Source organism: Homo sapiens, chromosome X (genome assembly GCF_000001405.40).
Source record: "Homo sapiens chromosome X, GRCh38.p14 Primary Assembly".
NCBI lineage: Eukaryota > Metazoa > Chordata > Mammalia > Primates > Hominidae > Homo > Homo sapiens.
The window spans coordinates 114,837,759-114,863,102 of NC_000023.11; the positions used below are offsets into that span (position 1 = coordinate 114,837,759).

Below are 25,344 nucleotides of genomic sequence, written 5' to 3' on the forward strand. Positions count from 1 at the left end.
CAAGTTAGTTTATACTCTTATCATAGTGAAAATTAATAACATAATGATGAGTAATGGGGTAAACTGGCATCTTGTCCAATTTCTAAATTTAATGTAATTGAAATACATTTATTGTATTGCTATTTATAATATTTGTTGTAGGTTCTTAGTAAGTTATCTTTATCAAAATTAAGGGCACTGCCTTTATCCCTTCATTATTAAAATTTTAATTAGGAATGGCTTCTGTATTTAATCAAATTACTCTTCAATATCTATTAAAAGACCAAAAATTTCTTCACAAATGCTAATATCAGGGATTATATTGGTAGATTTCATGATGATAAATCGCCTTTGCATTCCTGGAAGAACTCTTGTTTTTTCTGATGTGTTATTCTTTTGGTACTTTTTTGGGCTTTATTTGTTAATATTTTATTTTGAACTTTGAATCTATAATAATGAATGCTATTTTCTCTAGTCTCCTGTTTTAGTGTTTTTCAAGTTTTGCTATTGACACTGTATTGTTTTATAAAATGTGTTGAGGAATTTTTAAACTTTCATGGCTATTCATCTTTTCATATATGTTAACTTAGAGATTGATTATAATTTTTTGTTTCCAAGTGCTAGCTTTGGGATTACTTCACAGTTGTCCCCACATTCCCATACATCTTAATTAAATTATCAGAATACTGAACTTTTATTCTTTTCTCAAAGGCAAAAATTGTCTACATTACTTCATGAAAATAAAGTCCTTTTGTATTTTCTTTGAACAGAAGAGCTGAAAGATTAATGTCTTGTATTCAGTCTTTGCCTTTTTTTATTATTGGTGGGGATACCTGTGATTGCTGGAGTCATTAAAAATCATGTAACATTTGAATGAATGAACAAACATATAAAAATGTCTTATGAAGCACTATACACAATTTTTTCCCCTGAAAATAAGATTTCATTTCACTCAACTATGAATTGGCCTCCCCTATGGAAAGTGTGCTATAGCCTCTTGGCTATTCAACTCCCTTCAAACCTTTTACATATTAATTGTATAAAATATTGCTGGCTCACATAATTCCACACATTGTTCTATGCTCTATGGATAATGGAAAAATAAACAATAATTACTGACCCAATGGAGCTTATGTTCTAATGGTTATGGCAACAGAATTCTCCACATAGTGATAATCAGGATATACTTGTGCATTTGAAGCACAATTGGAAACATAATTTCTGCAAGTGAAACATGTCAAGGAGAATACAAAAACCCTCCACATGATCAACTTCCATGGTGGATACAATCTGAGGGAGTTATAGGAAAATGATGAACAATAATGAACTTTTGGTTAGAAGAACTTCTCATGATGTATTTCCTTTCCTTATTGCACTGGTTGAATTCTAATAATTGGTAGTTTGATTTCTAGTATGGCCATATAAGCACTTCTATTGTTAACCTTTTGGCAAATAAAAGCTACTAACTTGGAACAAAACACAAAGAACAACTACCTTAAGGTATTGGACAGGAATCCAAAACAGAGATATTGGCAATCACAACACTTGGAAAAAAGAAACAACAGAGGTTGAGTTTCCAACTTTCAAGACTTATAGCTTAAGAGGAAGATGCAATTTCTGCCAGAAGAGGTGGCTAAAACTCCAATAAAAAAATCTTTAGTTTTTTTGGTTGGGTGTGGGGGCTTATGCCTGTAATCCCAGCACTTTGGGAAGCCAAGACAGGTGGATCACTTGAGGCCAGGAGTTAGAGACCCACCTGGGCAACATGGCAAAACCCCATCTCTACAAAAAATACAAAAATTAGCCAGGCAGGGTGGCTGGTGCCTGTAGTCCCAGCTACTCAGGAGGCTGAGATAAGACGATTGTTTGAGTCTGGGAGGTGGAGATTGCAGTGAGCTGAAATAGTGTCACGGCACACCAGCCTGGGTGACAGAGCCAGATCCTGTCTCAAAAACAAAACAAAACAAAACAAAACAAAACAAAACAAAAAGTCTTCAGTTTTTATGGCCTGAAGAACCTGAGGAATTTGCAACTGGAAGGTGAAGGAGCACCTAGGAAAAGGTAAAGATAGAGAGAACCACAAATTCTTCTCTGGGAAACTATAAACTCTGCCTAAATCTCTAGATGACATTTAAACCGTGCTTGCCTGGGATATCCTACAAGCAACCTAAGAAATGATAAATGAACTGAATTGACATTTGAGCTGTAGCCCAAATGAAAGAGACTGCAGTTTGAGTCCAACCAAGCTGATTGCTGGAAAAACAAAAACAAAAACAAAAACACCAATACTCTTTGGAGCAAAAGAACCAAATCCAGCATCTCAACGACATGGCATTCACAATGTTTAGTTTACAATCTAAAATATTTTACTTTAAGAAGAAACAGGGAAAGACAACTCATTCACACACACACTAACACACACACATATATACACACACACAACTTTTAAGAGACCTATCCTGAGAATACCCAGATGTTAAAATTCACCGAGAAAGATTTTATTGCTGCTATTATATTTATATCAATACCATCAAAGAAAATATGCTCATAATTATTGAAAATGGAAAACCTCAGAAGATAAATAAAAACAACAAAAATAATTGAATGGCAATTTGTGGGCTAAAAAATAATATATGAAATATAAAATTATCCTGGATGAGTTTAACAGTATAATGGAGATGACAGACAAGAAAAGCCAGTGCATTTGAAGATAGATCTATAGAAATCGTCCGAAATTAAGATCAGAGCGAAACACATTGAGAAAAAAAAGAATGGACTCTCAGGAATCTGTGAAACAATATCAAATGCTCTAACATGCATGTGATTTGAGACCCAGAGAATGAGAGGGAAAATGGGACCAAAAACTATTTGCAAAAAAATAAGGACTGAAAAATTTTCAAATTTGGTGAAAGCCGTAAGTTTATAGACTCATGAAGCTCAGCAAATACCAAGCATCATAAGTATAAATTCTGATGATTAATCTAAGAAAATTTTACTATCCAAATATGTATAAATAATTCATATAGATTGAAGCAGCACCATTTATAATGGAAAAAACAAAAAATGGCAATTTTACTGCCTTTAATAGACATCTAAGAACTTGTTATATACTGGTGAAGGTTGAGCATGTCGCCAACCTAAACAAGAGTATTATAAAAGAACAATGAGTTATACAAGATCTCTTACTAATGGACAATAATGTTCACATTAAAAGTAGAGGGGTTTGATCGCTGCTTCATTATTATCAAGAATGAAGCACCAGTTCATCAGTCTGTATCTTGACATATCCTTCAGCCCATTCTGGAAGAAACCAAAAATGTCCAAAGGAAGGATGCTGGTTAACCTTCCAGAATATTTCAACAGCCACATTTCACCTTACTTTTCCTTACTTCCCCAAGAAAACAAGATTCTGAATTGTTTATTTATCCTGTAAGGTAGTCATGCCTACTAAGGTTGCATAGGAGAAGAGCCCAGTATCTAAGATAATTCTCACTAACAACTCCAGCAGACTAGAATATGACACATCGTAAAACAATTCACCAACAGCAGATTTACAAGTTGGTTTTTTGCCTGATTCAGTTGCTAGATTCTAGATGCCAATGTCATTACAAAAACTTTAAACTTTTAATGATGCTCCAATATGGAAACTTTAACACTACTGAAAATAGTTTAGATCTCAAGTTTTCAAGTAAGAACACCAATGTTAAAAACAACTTACTTGCGGCTGGGCGCAGTGGCTCATGCTTGTAGTCCCAGCACTTTGGGAAGCCGAGGCAGGCCGATCATGAGGTCAGGAGATCGAGACCATCCTGGCTAACAAGGTGAAACCCTGTCTCTACTAAAAATACAAAAAATTCGCCTGGAGCGATGGTGGGCACCTGTAGTCCCAGCTACTTGGGAGGCCGAGGCAGGAGAATGGCTTGAACCCGGAAGGCAGAGCTTGCAGTGAGGGGAGATTGCGCCACTGCACTCCAGCCTGGGTGACAGAGTGAGACTCCGTCTCAAAAAAAAAAAAAAATTTTACTTGAAATGTTCTGCTAATTTCGGCACCAGCTCAAAGTCAGACTTAATGCCACACCAGAGACTATCATGAAAATGGCAACAGTAATTCATCTGGTAACTGTTAAAAGTAAAAATAACAAGAGTTTCTGCCACTTATTAATCTTTACTTCTAGTATCTAACAAAATGTTTGGCATATAGAAAACAAATAGCTAACATAGGGTAAATTAAGGAATAAATAAGTAACGTTAAAGTAATTTATATGAGGAGGAACTTTATTGTTCTGTCTCTCCAAAAGAGCAAGAAAATGACCTGGAAATAGTTGTCAGAATCAACTATTATGAAACTCAAACATCAAATCAAAAATTTAAAACAAACAAGGTAATGCTAAATGAAGAAGAAACCCACTGCTTTGCAGTAAGGGAGCACTGTAGGGTTTTAAGCTGCCTGCTACCATATCCCATTTCCAGATATGCAGCTAATTTGAGGATGAAAGCCTGCACTCCTGATGCAAGTTGCTAGTGCCAAAGAAATACAGATCTTTTCCTCAAAGAAATGTGCTTGTCTTTTTAGACTTCTCTGATGGCCCCCTGAAGGACTGGGACAGTAACTTCCTTTGTTTTGCCTGACTCAGAGCATTTCCAGGGCTCAGATGATGTTCTGGTTGGAGTTTGCCAAAAGTATTAAAAGGCACAAGCATTGTTTGCAACAGACTAGGACAAGTAACACTAGACCACACAAACAAGAAACAGGCTGAATGGCCTGGGAAGAAAGAGGTTGGGAATGGAGATACGTTGGGAAAGAAAACTTTATTTTTAAGGAACTCAAATATAACAGAGAATGGAAAAAGCTACACATGGCGTGCCTAAGGATGTCAGAATGCTCAGAAGAAGCCTGGAAAGACACTATTCTTCCACCTGTGACCGGGCTGTCCATCAGCCTCTGAGATTCTGCTGAAGTATAAAGTTGAGGCTGAGGCAGAGTTATAAACAACCTCATTAAGCATTGAAGGAAGGTCCCAAACAGACCCAACCTGCAAAAAGTAAGAAAGCATTCATTCCTTTTTTTTCTTTGCCTACCGGTATTTAAGAAACCCCTGTAAAAGTGCTAGGTAACCACCAAACTAACAGGATGCTGATTTTAGCTGCCACAGAAGACCAAGAAAAAAGAAAACAGACTTTATAAAAATAGTTTTGAAAAATCACTAAACAGTCAAACAAAATCAGTCCAAAACAAGTAGCAACAACTTCAGGAAGGGAAGAAAATCTGATTTACAGATCTGCCACATTGTAATATTAAGATGTCCAAGTTTTACCAAGATTAAAAAGCATGCAAATAAACTAGGAAATATGACCTATTTTCAGAAAACAAAATAGAATAGAAACTGATCATGAGGAAGCCCAAGCATTGGACTTAATAGACAAAGACTTTACATCAACTGTCTCAAATGTACTCAAAGAGCTGAAGGAAACCATGGAGTAAGAATTAAAGCAAACCAGAAGAACAATGTCTCAAGGGATAGAGAATATAATTAAAGGGATAAAATTGTAAACAAAAAACAATGGAAATATGGCAGCTAAAAATTATAATAACTGAAATGAAAAATTCACATGAGGGAATCAATAACAGACTTTAGCAGACAGAAGAAAGAATCAGAGAACATGAAAACAGGTCAATTGTGATTATCCAGTCCAAGGAGCATAAAGAGAAAATAATAAATAAAAATGAACAATGCCTAAGGGACCTTTGAGACACTATCAAGTTTACCAATATATGCACAATGGGATTTCCGGGACATGAGAGATTAAAAGGATCAGAAAAAAATATTTAAAGAAATAATGGCCACAAACTTTCCAACTTTGAATAAAGACATGACTATAAATCCAGGAAGCTCAATGAACTCTAAGCAAGAATTACTCCAAAATATCCAAACCAAGGTGCAGTATAATCAAACTCTTGAAAGGCAAAGAGAGAATCTTAAAAGCTGCAACAGACAAGCATCTCATCAAATACAAAGTATCTTTAACAAGATAAACAGTGAATTTCTCTACAGAGACCATGGAGGCCGGAAGCAGTGAGATGACATATTTAAAGTGCTGAAAGAAAAATTGTCAACTAAATGCTCTAAATCTGGCAAAGCTATCCTTCAAAAATAGAGAAATTAAAACACTCCTGGTAAAAGAGCAAAAACAAAAACAAAAAATCAGAAGGAGTTAATTACTAGTGGACCTACCCTAAAAAAAAATGCTAAAGGGAGTCCTTCAGGATGAAATGAAAGGACGCCAAAAAGTACCTTGAAGGCATATAAAGAAATAAAAAACAACAAAAGTAGCTACAAAGCAAATATAAAATCCAGTGGAATTGTACTATGGGTTTCTTACACCTGTTTTGACTTTCTATTTCCTTTAAAAGGCAAATACATAAAACAATAATTATAAATCTATATTAATGAGCACCAAATGTATAAAAAATGTAATTTATGACCAATAGCAACATAAAAAAGGATGAAGATGTAAAGAAGCAAAATCTTTGTATAGTATTGAAACTGAGTATCTATAATTAAAACTTGATTGTTATGGAAGAAAGATTATAATTGTAATCCCCAGGTTAACCAAAGTAAACAATTAAAATAATACAAAGAGAAAGAGACAAGAAGAGAATCCCTACAAAAAAATCAGTTAATCACAAAAAAATCACTTAATCACAAGTGAAGGCAGTGACAGAAAAAAATGATAGTATATGTTATAGATAAAATGGTGCAAGTGTCTTTTCTTTACTGTAATTACTTTAAATGTGAAAGAATTAAATTTTCCAGTTAAAAGGCAGACACTAGCAAAATGGATAAAAATACATGATCCAATTATATGCTTTCAATAAGAGACTCACTTTAGACATAAGGACACATGTATGTTGAAAGTGAAAGGATGGAAAAAGATATTCCATACAAACAGTAACCAAAATAGAGTTGAGGTGGCTGAACTTGTCAGACAAAATAGAACTTACAAAGATAGTTGTTGTGAACAACATCAACTAAAAGAAGAACATCATCTATTGATTTCAAGCCATCAAGAACATATAACAATTATAAACATATATGTACCTAACAACAGAGCCCAACAATTATACGAAGTGAAAAATAAAAGAATTAATGGGAGAAAAAGGTAGATCTATAATAATATTTGGAGATATCAATACTCCATTTTCAATAATGGACAGAACAACAAGACAGAAAATCAATGAGGAAAATAGAGGACTTGAACAACACTATAAAACAACTAATTCTAACAGACAGATACAGAACATTCCATCTAATAACAACAATAAATACATTTTTTCTCATGTGCACATGGAACATTCTCTGGGATGGACCATAAGTTTTACCACAAAACAAATGTCAATACATTTAAAATATTATTATTATTTAAAGTATCCTAATACATTTAAAATATTATTATTCAAAGTAGAAATCAGTAACAGAAAGAAAACTAAAAAATTTACAAATATGCAAAAATTAAACAATATTAAACAACCAATAAGTGAAAGAAGAAAATACAAATGAAATTCAAAAATATTTTGAGAATGGCAGAATAAAAACTTAATATACCAAAAAATTATGGGATGCATCAAAAGCTGCGCTCAGAGGGAAATTTATATCTGTAAATGGCTACATTTAAAAATAAAATGAACTCAATTAATGACCTAACTTTATACCATAAGAAACTAGAAAAGTAGAGCAAGTTTAACCCAAACTCACAAAATAACTGAAATGATGAAGTTTAGTGGAAATATAAAAAATAAAGAATAGGAAAAATATAAGGACAATTAATAAAACCAAACGTTTTCCTTTTTTTGAAAAGATCAAAAAAGTTGACAAATCTTTAGATAGACAGACTAAGGAAAAAAGAGAAGACACAAATTACAAAAATCAGAAATGAAAGTGGGGGTATTACTACTAACCTTACAGAAATTAAAAGGATTGGCTGGCCAATCCTCCTGGTGTGGTATCTCATGCCTGTAATCCTCGCACCTTGGGAGGCCAAGGTGGGAGGATTACTTGAGCCTATGAGTTCAAGAGCAGCCTAGGCAACATGGTGAAAACCCATCTCTACAAAAAAAAATTTAAAAATTAGACAGGTATGGTGCCACATGTTTGTGGCCCTAGCTACTCAGGAGGCTTAGTTAGGAAGATTGCTTGAGCCCAGGAGGTTGAGACTGCAGTGAGCCATTATTACACCACTGCAAACTAGCCCAGACAACAGAGCAAGATCCTATCTCAAAAAAAATTAAAAGGATTATAAAACAATACAATGAACAATTATACACCAGTAAATTAAATAACCTGGATGAAATGTAAAAATTTCTAAAAACACACATACTACCAAAAGTGACTCAAGGAGAAATAATCTGAAGAGTCATATAAAAAGTAACTACATTGAATCAGTGATCAAATACCTCTCAACAATGAAAGCTCAAGACAAGAAGTTTTCCTTTTGAATTTCACCGAACATTTCAAAAATTAACACCAATTCTTCTCAAACTCTTCTAAAAAATAGAAGATGAAGAAACATTTTGTAATATATTCTATTAGACTGGCATTATCTTAATATCAAAGCCAGCTAAAGACATTACAAGAAAATTATAGATTAGTATTGTTTATTAATATAAATGCAAAAGTCTTCAATAAAATACTAGCAAACTAAATTCAGCACCATATTATATACCCATTACTAAATGGGATTTATCTCAGGGATGCAAGAGGGATTCAACATACAGAAACTAATCAATGTAATGTATCACATTAATAGAATGAAGGTATGCAAACCACATGATTATGTCAATTGATGCAGAAAAAGCATTTGCAAAAGTCCATCACTTTTTTATGATAAAAAAATGTTCAACAAACTAGGAATAAAAGAAAATGTCCTTGACAGGCATTTATAAAAAACAAAAACAAAACCCAGTCAATAGTGAAAGACTGATTTTCCTCTAAGATCAGGGAAAAAAGGCAGAATGCCCAACTTCATTAGTTCTATTTATCATGGTACTGAAAATTCCATGTAGAGAAATTAGGCAAAGAGAGGAAATAAAAGGCAGAGGAAAATTGGAAAAGAATAAATCAAATTATTTCTATTTGCAGAAGACATGATCTTATATATGGAAAATCCCAAAGAGTCAACACAAAACATAGCTCTAATAAATGAATTCAGCAAAGTTGCAGGACATTTGTAGTTCTATACACAGTGATGAACAATCCATGAAAGAATTTAAGAAAACAATTCTATTTACAACAGCTTCCAAAAAAACCTCAATTGATAACAGCATCAGCCACAAAGAAGAATTAAGTATTGATACATGCTACGAAATAGATAAACCTCAAAAACATTAGCTAGGTGAAAGAAGCCAGACCCAAAAAGTCACAAATTGTATGATTCTATTTATATGAAATATCCAAATTAGTTAAATCCATAGACTGGATTAAGAAAATGTGGCACATATACACCATGGAATACTATGCAGCCATAAAAAATGATGAGTTCATGTCCTTTGTAGGGACATGGATGAAATTGGAAATCATCATTCTCAGTAAACTATCGCAAGGACAAAAAACCAAACACTGCATGTTCTCACTCATAGGTGGGAATTGAACAATGAGAACACATGGACACAGGAAGGGGAACATCACACTCTGGGGACTGTTGTGGGGTGGGGGGAGGGGGGAGGGGTAGCATTAGGATATATACCTAATGCTAAATGACGAGTTAATGGGTGCAGCACACCAGCATAGCACATGTATACATATGTAACTAACCTGCACATTGTGCACATGTACCCTAAAACTTAAAGTATAATAATAATTAAAAAAAAAAGATAAAAAGCAAATTAGAGATTGCCAGGAGCTGGTTGATGGGAGAATGGGAAGTAACTGCTTAACGGTATGCAGTTTCCTTTTGGAGTGATGAAATGTTTCTGAACTAGAGACAGATGCTAGTTGCACAATATTGTGAATGTACTAGATGCCATTGGATTGTACACTTTAAAGAGATTAATTTTATGTTGTGTAAATTTTACCTCAATAAAATATATGTCACGCTGAAGGTATCATTATCATGATCACCATCATCATCCCTATAGAAAATAATGCTTCCTAAATTTCACTTTCTTTAAAAGGTTTAGATTATGAGAAAATATAAGCAGACTAAAATTTGAGACTATAGTCAGTACAATTTGGATGACGTGTTCTTGTCTTCTCTCTGTTCTCTTTCAGATTATGTCTGGCCACTACCTAGATATTTGTGCCCCGTCTGGATTTCTTTAGATGTTTTATTTTCAACAGCGTCCATCATGCACCTCTGCGCTATATCGCTGGATCGGTATGTAGCAATACGTAATCCTATTGAGCATAGCCGTTTCAATTCGCGGACTAAGGCCATCATGAAGATTGCTATTGTTTGGGCAATTTCTATAGGTAAATAAAACTTTTTGGCCATAAGAATTGCAGCGGCTATGCTCAATACTTTCGGATTATGTACTGTGAACAACGTACAGACGTCGACTGGTAACATTTGCGTTTGATCGGGTTCTTTTATTTAGTAATTATTCTTAACCTATTTATCTGATATTTAGGTTAACAATAATGAAAGGAATGTAATGTGTATTAATATGTAAATATAAAGTTTCCATTTATGCTGCTAAATTATTTTATGCATTAGTATGCCAATGAATTCTGCAACACAGATACAAAATGTTTGAAATATTTAAAATGCTTTGAAAATGAGAAAGACATAAAGTCTAATTAAAGTCTAAATTTTAAAAATATAACATTTCAATCTTATATTGAAAAGTTACATGTATCCCAGAATATTAACCTTAGTATTTTTATTCTAAATTCCTATCCTTTTCAGTAGAAAAATTAATAATGCAATCTAAATCATCATCAAGTAAATATGTCTAAATTTTTGTTGCTATGACACCTAAAATGTACTATTTTCTCTCAGTTTTAATTGTCTTCTTGAATTCTGGGTATACAAAAAGAAAAAAAAATTTGTTTCTTTAAAGATTTGTAGCAGTTTAAAGGGAAAGAAATGATCATTTATTGCTTATATTTGAGGTATTCATAAATGCCTTAACAGTGCTAATATTAAAGCCAAGAAATTTAAACAATTGGACTTTAGGGGTTTTACTTTCATGTTTTTTTCCTTTTCCAGTTGGTGTAAATAATTTTTCTTCATATTTATGTTTTTGTAAAGATTGAGGTAAAGTGTGCAACAAGATCAAGACTTCTATTTAATCTTCACTAATATCATCTAAATATTTTGACTCTGGGTTTATTGATCAAATACATTTAAGTTTTAAGATTGTTCTATTGTAGATTGTTCTGCCTGTGTATAGCATAGACACCTTTGAATAAAAAGTCGTGAAGCTTGTCCCAAAAGACAAAAATGAATTTACGTAAGTTTGACTTACAAATTCAAGAGTTCACAGATTTTGCCCTAGCCATCACAAAGAGTTCATCTAAAAAGATGCCAGCTTTTATGGTGCTTACAAAGGAAATACACAGACAGAATATTGTTGCATCAGCTTCTAGTAATGAAAGACTGAGTAATTTGCAATGACTCTTGTGCTAAAGGCAAATAAACACATGGATAAAACACTAAAAGCCCTAAGAAGCTAATGAAATAGAAATTGCTATTGGCTAAGATCCAGAAAAAGACAAAAACCCAAGAAAAATGATTATGACTTCTAGTTCACTTTTGCCAATGATGCATTATAAACCTGAAGATATGACTGACAGGTGGAGACGATCATTTCAGACTCGCAAGCAATGGAGGACTAGAGTAGGAATACAGAGTCTGGCAAGGGCCAACCAACCTGAATTTAATTCTGGGATCACAAAAAAACCAGACACTAGGAATAAGGATCGACCAGGATTAAATCACCATAGACATGGAATTCAGCCCTGGTTCAAGTCATCTATGTAAATGAGAGAAATCTTGGGCCTTAAAATTGGATTAAGATGATTTCGTATTATTCAGGTTTCCAATTTTGGGGCATAAACAAACAAAAAAAACCCCATAATCCTAGATTTCAACTTATTTCTTTCAATAATTTTCAAATGCTGTCACTGAAATACAATGATATGCAGATATATGAGGAGACAATACAACATGAATCAGGTATGGGACAATAAGAGATAACAGAAATAAACTTACAAACACTTCAGATAATTGAATTATCAGACATACACTTTAAATAATCATTTGGAATGTGCACATGGAAATTACATGCTGATCTTAAACACTTCAGCAAGAAACTGCAAACTATAACAAATGACATTAAGATTTGAGAAACACCTAGAAAATATGGAACTTAAGCATAATATGAAAAACTAAGGGCCAGGCAGTGTCTTACACCTGTAATTCCAGCACTTTGGGAGGCCGATGCAGGCGGATCACTTGTGGCCAGGAGTTCAAGACTAGCCTGGACAACATGATGAAACCCCATCTCTACTAAAAATACAAAAATTAGCCAGGTATGGTAGCACACGCCTGTAATCCCAGCTACTTGGGAGGCTGTGGTGGGAGGATCACTTGACCCTCAGAGGTCAAGTCTGCAGTGAGCTGAGATCATGCCACTGCGCTCCAGCCTGGGCAACAGAGTGAGACTCTGTCACACACACAAAAAAAATTAATTAATTAAAAAATGAAAACCTAAGAACTCTGTGGCAGATTAGAGATGGCGAATTTCCAAATTTACAGAAGATTATTATAAAATATTAAAAATTAGCTGGGTATGGTGGCATGTGCCTGTAGCCCTAGCTACTCAGAAGGTTGAGGCAGGAGCATCACTTGAACTCAAGTGTCTTGAGGTTGCAGTGAGCTATGATCGTGCTATGACACTTCAGCCTTGATGAGAAAGCAACACTTTGTCTCTACAAATAAAAGATAAAATGAAATAATAAGATAAATCCAAAAGGAGTCAATAAAAGATAGAAAAATATAAAACGTATACTGAATGGCAGAATTAAAACCAAATATATCCCTAATTATATGAATTACTAAGGATTCTAAGACTGTCATATAGGCTTTCAAAAAAATAAGACAACTATATGTTACAAGAGGCATATATAAAGCATAAAGAAAGTAAAAGGATAAAAACAAACAAAAAAATTCCTCCATCTAAACACTATCCAAGAGAAAGACTGTATAGCTATATTAATATTTGTCAAAATAGACTTTTCGGCAAAAAACAAATACTCCAGTGAAAGAAGATTACTTACTATGAAAGATTTAATACATCTGGAAGACATAAGGTAATAAATTTGTATGTACATAATTATATGTAGATACATATGTAATATACATAGTATATACATTATAAAGTAAAAGAGGACAGAACTTCAGGGACAGATAGACAAGTCTACAATCATCGCATAAGATCTTAGCACATCCTTCTCAGCGATTGTATGAAAACAATTAACAAACCTGAACTCACTGACAAGTGAAGAATACATATTCCCATCATTGCACAAGAAATATTTATCAAAACTGACCATAAAGTAATTCCTCAACACATTCCAAAGGGTTGGAATAAATTGTTTATTCTTTGACTGAAATTCAAAAGAAATAGAAATGACTTCAAAATAGTAGAAAAACCTTCGTATATTTGGAAATTAAGAAATTGTTTCCCAATAAACTTTGACCTAATGGATTTCAAATCCATTGATGATTCTTCCCTAAGCTATCTATTACTAAGGTGATACAATGATAATTTTTCTCATTTTATTATTCTTCCTGCCTTTATTTGTTGGTATTATACTGTAAGGAAGTGTTTTCCCTCCAAGTCTTTGTTATTTATTAGTTCATGTTGGTGGAGACTCCTGGATTCTTTTGTATTCAGTGTAATATATATGATTCATTATTGCCCTTAATTATTTTGATGCTCAAATTGTCTCATATTTTTCTAATAAGAACTCCTTTTCATATATCCCATCAGCTTTTGAGCATTTGCCAGACTCACCTTTTACTTTCCATGCCCCAGTTCCGAAATTAGCCATTTCTTACAAGAAACCCTTTTAGTGGGCAATGGTTTTATAAAGCAGGATGCAGAAGCTCAGTATGCTCATTGCTAATAGGATATCATTGCTCCTATATATCAATACCTTTAATCCCAATTCACGAACACAGGACTCTTGCTACTTTCCAATTCTTTATTTTTCCTCATTTTTCTCACAGTGAGTAACTTTGTCCCCAAACCATTGATATATTTATTATTTATATTTTCTATATCCTACCATACAAGAAATTAATTTCAGAATTTCTATACCCATACCACTACCAATAAATGAAATGCAATGTTTAAAATTTCATTGCAATTTTATCTTTAGAATGTTTTCCACCAATGGCATATAGTCAAAGCATTGTCTTCAAAATGCTAGGATTAGTTTGAATTTTTTTTCTCTGTGGTTCTGATACCAATTGTTCACATTTAGGGATTTTGTTTTGTTTTTGCATGTATTCCCCAACCTTGTTGACTTTATTTTTTAATATGTAAAACTTTAATATGATGCTCCAACAGTCAAAACTAGGCAAATAAAATACTCAGAGAAGAGTCAGTTCCTCTTCTATTCCGTGGTTAACCCATTCATTAGTTTCTAGGGCATACTTCTTGAATTTATTTTTGCAAAAAAAAAAAAGATTATACACAAATACACGTATTGTTATTTTTCCATTCTTAAATTAAAAGTTAAAATGCTACATACAAATTAATACTTTGTTTTGCTTTGTTCTTTTACTTGGAAATATGTCCTGGAAATCACTCTATCAATTTGTAAGATGATAGATATGCACCCAACTTTATCATGTAAATGGCCTAAATACTCCAATTAAAAGCTAAATTCATTCTATTATTTTTTACACTCACTAATAATAGATTGTGTTGATATACTTTATTTAACCAATCTTCTGTGTATAATCAGGTAAGTTGTTTCCAACATTTGGAAGTTGCCAATAATTCTACTAAGAATAATTGTGTGTGTGTGTGTGTGTGTGTGTGTGTCCTTTGTGTGTGCGTGCGTGCATGTGTGTCTGTCTTGTGTGTTTGTGTGCGCGCGCGCGTGCATGTGTGTGTTTCATATTATTGGAAGTTTAACTTTTAAATAAATTCTTGCTCAAATGTATTCAGAATTTATCTTCTAAATAAATTCTTAGAGGAGGAGTTGATTGATCAAAGGGTACATGTAGTTAGGAGTTGAACCATTTTGCATTCCCACCAGCAATGCAAGAAAGCCTCTGTTTCCCCAAAGCCTTGCTAATGAAGTTTATTTTCAAACTTTTTAGATTTTGCAAATCCCATAAGTGAGAAATGTTACCTCAGTGTAATTTTAATTTGCATCTATTTTATTTGGCTGAAGTTCATATGATTAAATGTATGAAAACCACTTCAGTGCCATTGCTAAATCAGTTTTAAGTGTCCTTTTGCTCATTTTTTCTGATTTTTTTTCATTTTTATTTCTTAATTTAATAGCTCTTTATAAGTTATAGACACTAACCATTTAACATGTTATAAATGAAAATATTTTCTGTTTGCTATTTGATATAGCTATGGTATTTTGCCATACAAAATTATTTTATTTTCATGTAGTTCATCTTGTCAATCAGATTTCCTTTTTATGTTGAGAGTAATGGCAACAAATTCTTTCCCCTAACTCAGGTTGGACAATAAATCACACATATTTTTCTCATTTTTACATTTAGACCTCTGATACATTTGGAGTTTATTCTTGTACGTTGTGACATACACATTCAATTTTAGTCTCTTAAAACTAATTCTTCCATTGTCTCATGCTATTTATTTAAAAAGTCCATCTGTCCTGTGATATGAGATGCCATCTTTATAGTATATTAAATATTCTTATATGCCTGGACATGTTTCTGAAGTTCACATTTTATTCCACTACACTGTCTAATCAAATGCCAATTTCACACTTTTAATTATAAATGCTATTACATAAATGTTATTATCTGATATGGTTAGTCCCTATTCATTAGGCATTTTTTAGAGCTTGTGTAGACATTACTGAAAGTTTAATTTTCCATATTAACGTTAACATTAACTTGCCTTGTTCTATTCTAAAAGCCTGGATATTTTGACAGGGATCTCCTTAAATTTATAATTTAATTTAAGAAAAAATGAACAACTGAATTTTAAAAATGCTTTCTCTAATCTGTATACTAATTTAGGTGGTGGCCACTCTGTCTTCCAAACTTTACTGCCAAACCTATATGTCACTCTCATGTCTTCCTTATCAACATTTATAATGTATCTCATAAGAATCAATTTTTTAGCTTTACCACAAACCAAATCTGTCTTCTATGCATTCACTAGTGACTACTTAATTGTTTAATTTATGAATTTTCAAACTTTTTGGTCTAGTGATCTCTGTATACTCAAACATTATTAAGGATTCCAGAGAGTTTGCCTTTATATGAGCTATATCCATCAGCATTTAATGTCTTTGAAATTAAAATTGAAATTTTAAATTATTTTTGTCTACATTTATTTAAAATAACAATAGTAAATCCATTACATGTTAACATAAATAATTAGCTCTATTAAAAAAAGCTATATTTTCCAAAACAAAATCAACAAGAAGAGTGACATTGTTTTAGTTTTTTCTTTTTTTGACTTTTATAAATTTAGGGGGTACAAGTGCAGTTTTGATATATGAATATAGAGTATAGTGGTGAAGCCTGGGCTTTTAGTGTAACCATGACTCGGTAACGTACAATGTACCCATTAAATAATTTCTCATCCCTCTCACCATATACAAAAATTAACACAAAATGGATGAAATCCTTAAATGTAATATCTGAAACTACAAAAACACTAGAAGAAAACCTAGGAAAAAACTCTGCTGGACAATGGCCTAGGCAAAAATTCGTGACTAAGACCTTGAAAGCACAAACAACGAAAACAATAATAGACAAATGGGATTTAAACTAAAAAACTTCTATGCAGAAAATAAATAATCCACAGAGTGAACAGATAACCTGCAGAATGGGAAAAAATATTTGCAAACTATACATCCAACAAGGGACTAAAATCCAGAGTCTATAAGGAACTCAAACAACTCAACAACAACAAAAGACAACCCCATTAAAAACTGGGGAACAGACATGACCAAACATTTTTCAAAAGAAGGCATACAAATGGCTAACAAGCATATGAAGAAAATGTTCGATGTCACTAATCGTTAGAGAAATGTTTTACAGTTTTTCAAGGTGCTTTAATCATCTGACTTAATAGAAGATAGCTAGATTCTCATCTCTGTTTTTTTCATCCAATTTATTGCAACAATTTGCTGTGGTTCAGATAATTGCGGTCATTCTTATTTGACAGTGCACTAAAACTCTGCAAGTAGTAGTTTCTTAAGTTCTGTGGCAATGTACAATCAGAAACCAAATCACTGACTTTTTTATATACTGTTACATTAAAATCCACTAATGTATCTAGAAATGGATATTTCAAATGAATACTTTACTTCAGTACTTCACATGGATATTTTACCCATGATTTATATTGTAACATCAGGCATAGGTCATTAAGAAAATATTGGTTCACCGAGTTACACATATTTTCTCAATGTTGGTATATTTCACTATACAATGTCAAAAATCATATACGTTGATAATCTTCATCAACCTTAATGGAAAAATCTTAAGATATTGGGAAAGTTCAATCTCCCAGAGATGAATAGACATTTTCCAAAAATTACATTATTCACTTGAAACCTCAGATTTTATCATTGGCAGCAAATAGCATCTATTTTTTGCTTAACTTGACAGGCTCAAGTCATCCATTATTGAGAAAGTAGCTGCCAAATACCCAAGTCTGAATAACTCTAGTGTGTCTAACAGTCAAGTAAAGATGTTAGTCTATGAAAAAATACATGGCTAGTTAATCTTGCAACTCTAACAATTGCATAGGTACTTTTTCTCAAAGCAACCATCTTTTTTTTTTTTTTTTTTTTTTTTTTTTTTTTTTTTTTTACCAAAGCTGTACATATATTTTAAACATGAAGATATTTTGGAAAATCAGGTCTAAGTTTTCTTTCTCCAAACAGGTATGTTTAAATTCTTTATAATTTTTTTCCATACAAGAGAAACTTTTTCATGGTACAAAGGATGAAGGTAAATTACAGTCCTGTAGGCAGTCCTGTTAGAGTGACTGTTCTATACATATTATTGAACATTTTAAATAAAGGGTATTCAATTAGGAAAAGAGGAAGTCAAATTGTCCCTGTTTGCAGACGACATGATTGTATATCTAGAAAACCCCATCGTCTCAGCCCAAAATCTCCTTAAGCTGATAAGCAACTTCAGCAAAGTCCAGGATACAAAATCAATGTACAAAAATCACAAGCATTCTTATACACCAACAACACACAAACAGAGAGACAAATCATGAGTGAACTCCCATTCACAATTGCTTCAAAGAGAATAAAATACCTAGGAATCCAACTTACAAGGGATGTGAAGGACCTCTTCAAGGAGAACTACAAACCACTGCTCAAGGAAATAAAAGAGGATACAAACAAATGGAAGAACATTCCATGCTCATGGGTAGGAAGAATCAATATCGTGAAAATGGCCATACTGCCCAAGGTAATTTACAGATTCAATGCCATCCCCATCAAGCTACCAATGCCTTTCTTCACAGAATTGGAAAAAACTACTTTAAAGTTCATATGGAACCAAAAAAGAGCCCGCATCGCCAAGTCAATCCTAAGCCAAAAGAACAAAGCTGGAGGCATCACACTACCTGACTTCAAACTATACTACAAGGCTACAGTAACCAAAACAGCATGGTACTGGTATCAAAGCAACCATCTTATATCAGTATGCAGAAGATGCGCTCTTCCTGTACTTCTCATTTTCTTACATAGGTTGTTAAGAAGATGTGTACCCACATGTTGAGATTTAATAAAATTAATATTTTTTACTACTTCATAAAGTATATTCTTAAGTAATAGTGGCTTCTTTCCCCAAAAGTACATAGTGATAAAGAATACAATAACTTCTTGTACAGTTTGGTGTCATCTGCTTGATTCATGCCAAGGCACCAGCAGTTTCACCCACCATTACATTGGCATTATCAGTAAAATTGTAAACACATTGAAAATAGCAAATAACATATTAATATTTCTATGGAAATACTTTTGACTTCATGAAACTATTGAAAAGGTTTCAGAGATACATAAATGTTCATGGAACACACTTTAAAAACTAAGTTTCCGGTGCTAGCTCCCTTTGTGGTATTTGATATAGTCAATGATGTTTTGTTCATAATTCTCCGATTCTTTGCTACCTATGACACAATTTTCATTTGGTTTCCTTTTCTCCTATTTCTCTGTCTGCTCCAAATCATTTTCTTCATTTTCTGCTTTATCCCCGTTCTTCCCCAGGATTCTGTTCCTTCCAATTGCTTATATACTTTTCCTGGCTTGCATCATCCACAGAAATAATTAAAATCTATCTACCAATGACTCTTGAATAATTATTTCTATTAATTTCTATCTGGATTATATGCAGATCTATAGCTTGTAGAAAAACTCTTAGCTCATGTTCCATATAAAATAGACTACAGACCAGATTTGGCCGATGAACCATAGTTTGCCAAACCCTGGTCCTAATAATTGTGTTCTGGCAAGTATATAGTGACATCTAGTCCTGGTATTTATCTTTAATTCCCTACTGACTCATAATGTTGGGCACTTTTTGTTATGGTTTTTAAGCATTTCGACGTCCTCTTTTGTGATGAATTTTTAACACCATTTGCCTATTTTCAATTTTTTAATTCTAGTGTTTTTTTGTATAGTCTAGATAAGAGTTCTTTGTCGGATATGTATAGTGAAAATATTTTTTCCCAATCTGTGCATGACCTTACACTCGTTTAAAGTTCAATTTGTCAGCGTTTTCTTTAATGGCCAGTGATTTTTTATCCGGTTTATGAAAAGTTTTCTCATCCAGAGTTCAAGAGGATATTCAAGAGGATAACCTCCTCTGTCTTTGTATTTCCTTCCTTTCTTAAGTGTTTGATCATCTTAGCTTTCACATTTAGGTCCAGGAGCCATCTTAACTTAATGTATACGTCTGATGCGAGCTAGAGATTGAATTTTTTCCCTATGTGAATATCCAGTTGACTCAGCATCATTTATTGGAAAGATTATTCTTGCCTACCGAATTACAATGGCGTCATTCTCATAAGTCAGGTTACCTTATATATGTTGTTTCTCCTGGGCTATAAGTTCTGTTCTATTGATCTAATATTCTGTCCTTGTACTAGTATTACAATGTCCTAATTACTATAGCTTTATACTAAGTCTTCTAATCTAGTTGAGTAAGTCTGTCAGCTGTGTTCTTCTTCAAAATTTTCTGGGCTAGCCTAAGGCCTTTTCATTTTCATATAAAACTAAAATTAGCTTGTCAACCCCCAAAACAAAATATGCTATTGTTTTAAAATTGGTATTGCATTAAATCTATAAGTCAGCTAAGTGAGGATTTGTCTTAACAATACTATGGCTTCCAATCCATGTACGTATGCATATGTACATGTAAATAATCTACTATTTATTTAGGCCTTCTTTAATACTCTGTTATGTTTTATTTAATTTAGAGGTCTTGCACATCTTTGTTAGATTTATCGTTAGGTACTTGATTTCCTAGGATGCTATTGTAAATATTTCTAGTTGCTTGCTGCTAGCATATAAAAATAAAATACATTTGATATTTTTGCATTTACTCTATACCCAGCTATCTAAATTCACTTAACATTTCTTGGAGTTTGTTAAAAGATTCATTGGAATTTTCAGCGTACCTAGTGGTGTCACTTGTGAATGACGACAGATGTATTTCTTTTTCTTCTATCTTAAAAATTTTTTTAATTAATTGTTCTTGCTTGATTGCACTGGTAGGACTTAGAAAATAGTGTTTAATACAAGTGGAAGTAGTAGACATCTTTTTTTTTTAGTGGAAAACTGCTCAGTATTTCAACATTAAGAATAATATTTGTAAGTTTTGTAAAATGTCTTTCATCAAATTAAATTCCCTTTTATTCTATATTTTCTGTGTCTTTTTTATCATAAATATGTGTAACTTTTCCAAATCCTTTTTTCTGAATCCACTGAGATGATTATAGGATTTATTTCTTCCTTTATTCTGTTAGCATGGTAAATTGTATACATTTTTGAATTATATCTTGCATTCTTGAAATAAATCCCACTTTGTAATGGGCTTTTTTTTTCTATATCATTGGATTATTTTTTATATTTTAGTTAGGATGTTTTAATCCATTCCAATGAGAGATTTTGCCTTGTCATTTTACTTTCTTTAGTGGTATCCTTGTCTAGTTTTGGTAGCAGGGTATGCAAGCCTCATAAAATGAGTTTGAAGCTGTCCCTTTTGACCTACCTTATATGTTTGTGTAAAGTTTGCATCTTTTTATTTTAAAATGTTTGGAAGAATTAATGAATGTAGTCATTTGATACTGTCACCATCTGAGCCTGCAGGGTGGTATGTGTCTGTGTGTGTGTGTGTGTGTGCGTGTGCATGCATGTGCACATATGTGTAAAGGTTCTTAATTATAGATTCAATTGCTTCAACATGAATGGCAATATTAATATTTTCTTTTGTGTGTGTTAGTTTTGGTAAATTGTAATTGTCAAAGAATTTCTTCTAAGGTTTCTAATTTATTGGCATCAAGTGGTGTAATTACCATCCTTTTAATGTCTATATAATGTGTAGTGACTTCCTGTTTCGCCCAGAGAATGGTTATCTCTGTTTTCTCTCTTTTTGTGTTTAGTTTACTAAGAGTTTATAATTTTTTTTTAACTTCTCCAAGAATTATCTTTTGGAGTCATCAATTTTCTCCATTGTTTGTCCATTTTCTATGTCATTGACATCTAATTTTACCTCCTTCTTTCTACTTACTTTGGGTTTCATTTTCTCTTTTTTAACTTCTTAAGGAAGAAAGTTAAGTCAGTGACTCTGGGCCTTACTTGATTTCTAATATACACATTTAAATCCATAAATTTTTCTCTAAATTCTACTTTAGCTGTATCTCATAACTGTTGATGTGTATTTTAATTTCAGCTCAAAATATTTACTAATTCCCTTTTTTAATCCATGGATTATTTGGAAACTTGTAGTTTAATTTTCAGACTTCAGGAAATTTTCAAGGTATCTTTCTTATTGAGTTGTAATTAATGCCACAGTGGCCAGGGTATATACACTTTATGTTTCCATCATTTGACTTTTATTGTCATTGCCTTTTGGCCAGCATATGGTTTACAGTGATAAATGTTCTATGTCTACCTCAAAAGACTATATATATTATGATGTTGATAGACGTAGTAACAGAATGTGTGTTTTGTAACTTTTCTATGTGTATTTTCTAGTTACTGCAAGAGTTGTGTTAAAATCTCTGACAATCATCATGGATTTGTCTATCTCTCCTTTTAGTTTTTTTAACATTTGTTCTATAAATTTTGAGGTTATGTTATTTGGTTTCTTTAATAAATAAGATTATATCTTTCCATAGGATTGACACTTTTATAGTTATGAAATATTCCTCTTTATCTCTCCTAATACTTTTTGCCCTAAGAACTAATTTTTATGATATATCAGCTTTCTTTCAGTTAGTGTTTCCATAGCATAACATTTTCTATATTTTTAAAACAGGCTCTGTCTTTATATTTTTAAATAATTCACTTATAAAGAGCATATAGTTATTTCTTAATATAATCTGAAAGTATTTCATTTTTAGTTGAAGTTTTTAAACCACTTAAACGATATACTTTAGTTTACATCTATTAATTTTTGTTAGTTTTTTCTTTGTTTCTTTATTATTCTTTCTTTTGTAAAAAGATTCATTTAGGTAAATTTGATGTAAGATAACCTGCACTTTTTAAAATGTATAATTTGACAAATATTACAATGTGCATAAACCCATGAAAACATCACCACACTCAAGATCATAAAGATAGCCATCCCCATCAAGTTTCCTCATGCCCACTTGTAATACTTCCCTCCCTCAATCATACTTCACTGTCCCTGAACAATCACTGATCTGCTTTCTGTCACTATGCTCTAGCTTGCATTTTCTAAAATGCAATACGTATACTTTAAAAATATATATTTAAGGTATACAACAGGATGTTATGAGATACATAGAGATAGTAAAAAGGTTACTATAGTGAAGCAAATGAATATATTCATCATCTCATATAGTTACCTATTTTTGTGTGTATGGCAAGAACAGCTACAATCCACTCATTTAGCATGAATCCCATACATAGTATAATTTTATTACCTATCGTCCACATGTTGTACATTAGATCTCTAGACTTGTTCAGCCTACATATCTACTACTTTGTACTCTGACCTGTGTCTCCCCATCACCCAACTCCCACTGTTTTATTCTCTATCTCTGTATATTTCAATTTTTCTTTAGTTTCCACATAGAAGTGAGATCATACAAAATGCTTCTTTCTGTGTCTGGCTTATTTCATTTAGCATGTCTTCCAGGCTAATCCATGTTGTAGCAAATGGCATGATCTCATTCTGTTTTAGGGCTGAACAGTATTCCATTGTGTATACATATGTGCCACCGCTTATTTATTTATTCATTCATTCATGGATTCTTAGATTGTTTCCATATCTTAGCTATTGTGAATAATGCTGCAATGAGCATGGGAGAGCACATATCTTTACAATGTGACGATCTCATTTCTATTTCTAATATTTCTAAAATATTAATTTTGAAGAACCTCCATACTGTTTTCCATGATGGCTGTACTAATCTACATCCCCACAAGCAGTGTACAAGTGTTGCCTTTCCTCCACGCATTTGCCAACACAGGTTATATTTTGATTTTTTATAATAGCTATCCTAACTGGTATCTCATAACGGTTTTGACTTGCATCCCTGATGATTAATTGATGTTGCGCACCTCTACATATACCTGTTGGAGATTTTTATGTCTTCCACAGAGAAGTGTCTATTCTTGTCTTTTTTCTAATTTTTAAACAGGATATTTGTTTTTCCATTATTGTGTGAACAAGTTATTGATAAATTTTGGATATTAACCCTTTAACAGATATATGGTTTGCAAATATTTTTTTCTCAATTCATAGGAACCATTTCATCTTGTGGATTATTTCCTTCACTGTTTAGAAGCTTTTTAATTCGATTTAATCCCATTTATTTATTTTTGCTTTTGTAGCCTGCACTTTTGACATGATATACAAAAATTCATTTCCAAGCCTAATGTACAAGAGCTTTTCCTTTATGTTCTCTTCTAAGAGATTTACAGTGTCTAGTGTTGTATGTAGGCCTTTTATACATTTTGAGTTGATTTTTGTGCATGATGTCAGATAAGGGTCAAATTTCATTCTTTTGCATATGGAAATAGAGTTTTTACAGCATCATTTATTTAAGAAATTATCCTTTTCCTATTGGGCTTTATTGATGCCCTTGTCAAAAACAAATTGACAATTTGTGTTTGGATTTATCTCTGGGCTCTCTATTCTGTTTTACTGGTCTGTGTGTCTGTATTTCTGCCTGGACCATACGATATTGATTACTATAGTTTTGTAATACTATCTTAAAAAAGGAAGTATGATGCCTCCAACTTCATTTGTTCTCAGAATTATTTTGGCTATTTGGGGTCTTTTATTATTCCATACAAATTTTATTATTGCTTTTGCTATTTCTGATAAGGAAGGCATCGGGATTTTTAAAAGGGTTGTGTTGAATCTCTATATTGCTTTGGGCAGTATGAACATTTTAACAATATTAATTCTTTATGTATATATAATAGTTGTACATATTTTTCTTTATGTATATATAATAGTTGTACATATTTTGTCACATACTTGTGACATTTTGATTCTTGTGTAGAATGTGTAATGAGCAAATCAGGGTAACTGGGATATCCACCACCTCACATTTATATTTGTTTTGGCGACGTTACAATTCTTCTCATCTAGCTATTTTAAAATATACAATAGGTTATTGTTAACTATAGTCTCCCAACTGAACTATCAAATACTAGAATGTATTCCATCTATCTAACTGTATCTTTGAACTTCTTAACCAACTTCTCGTCATCTCCCTCAACTCCCCTACCCTTCTAAGCTTCTGGTAACCTGTCTTACTATGCCTGGCTTATCTCATTTCACATAATTACCTCTAGGTCTACTCATGCTACTGCAAATGACAGGATTTCATTCTTCTTATGGCTGAATAATATTCCAATTGTTGTATATATCACATTTTCTTTTTCCATTCATCTGTTGATGGACACT

The 25,344-nt window shown here is 32.6% G+C and overlaps 1 protein-coding gene across 3 annotated transcripts in view; it reads left to right on the plus strand.

Annotated features, from left to right (window-relative positions):
• The window catches only part of HTR2C (5-hydroxytryptamine receptor 2C), a 325,976-nt gene that overhangs the window by 253,673 nt on the left and 46,959 nt on the right, over positions 1 to 25,344 (plus strand). For 2 of the 3 annotated variants that reach the window (NM_001256760.3, NM_000868.4), the window contains one exon: positions 10,245 to 10,445. In NM_001256760.3, coding sequence (NP_001243689.2) covers positions 10,245 to 10,445 — 201 coding nt within the window. The remainder of the gene's footprint in view (positions 1 to 10,244; positions 10,446 to 25,344) is intronic. The other variant, NM_001256761.3, reaches the window with a different exon arrangement.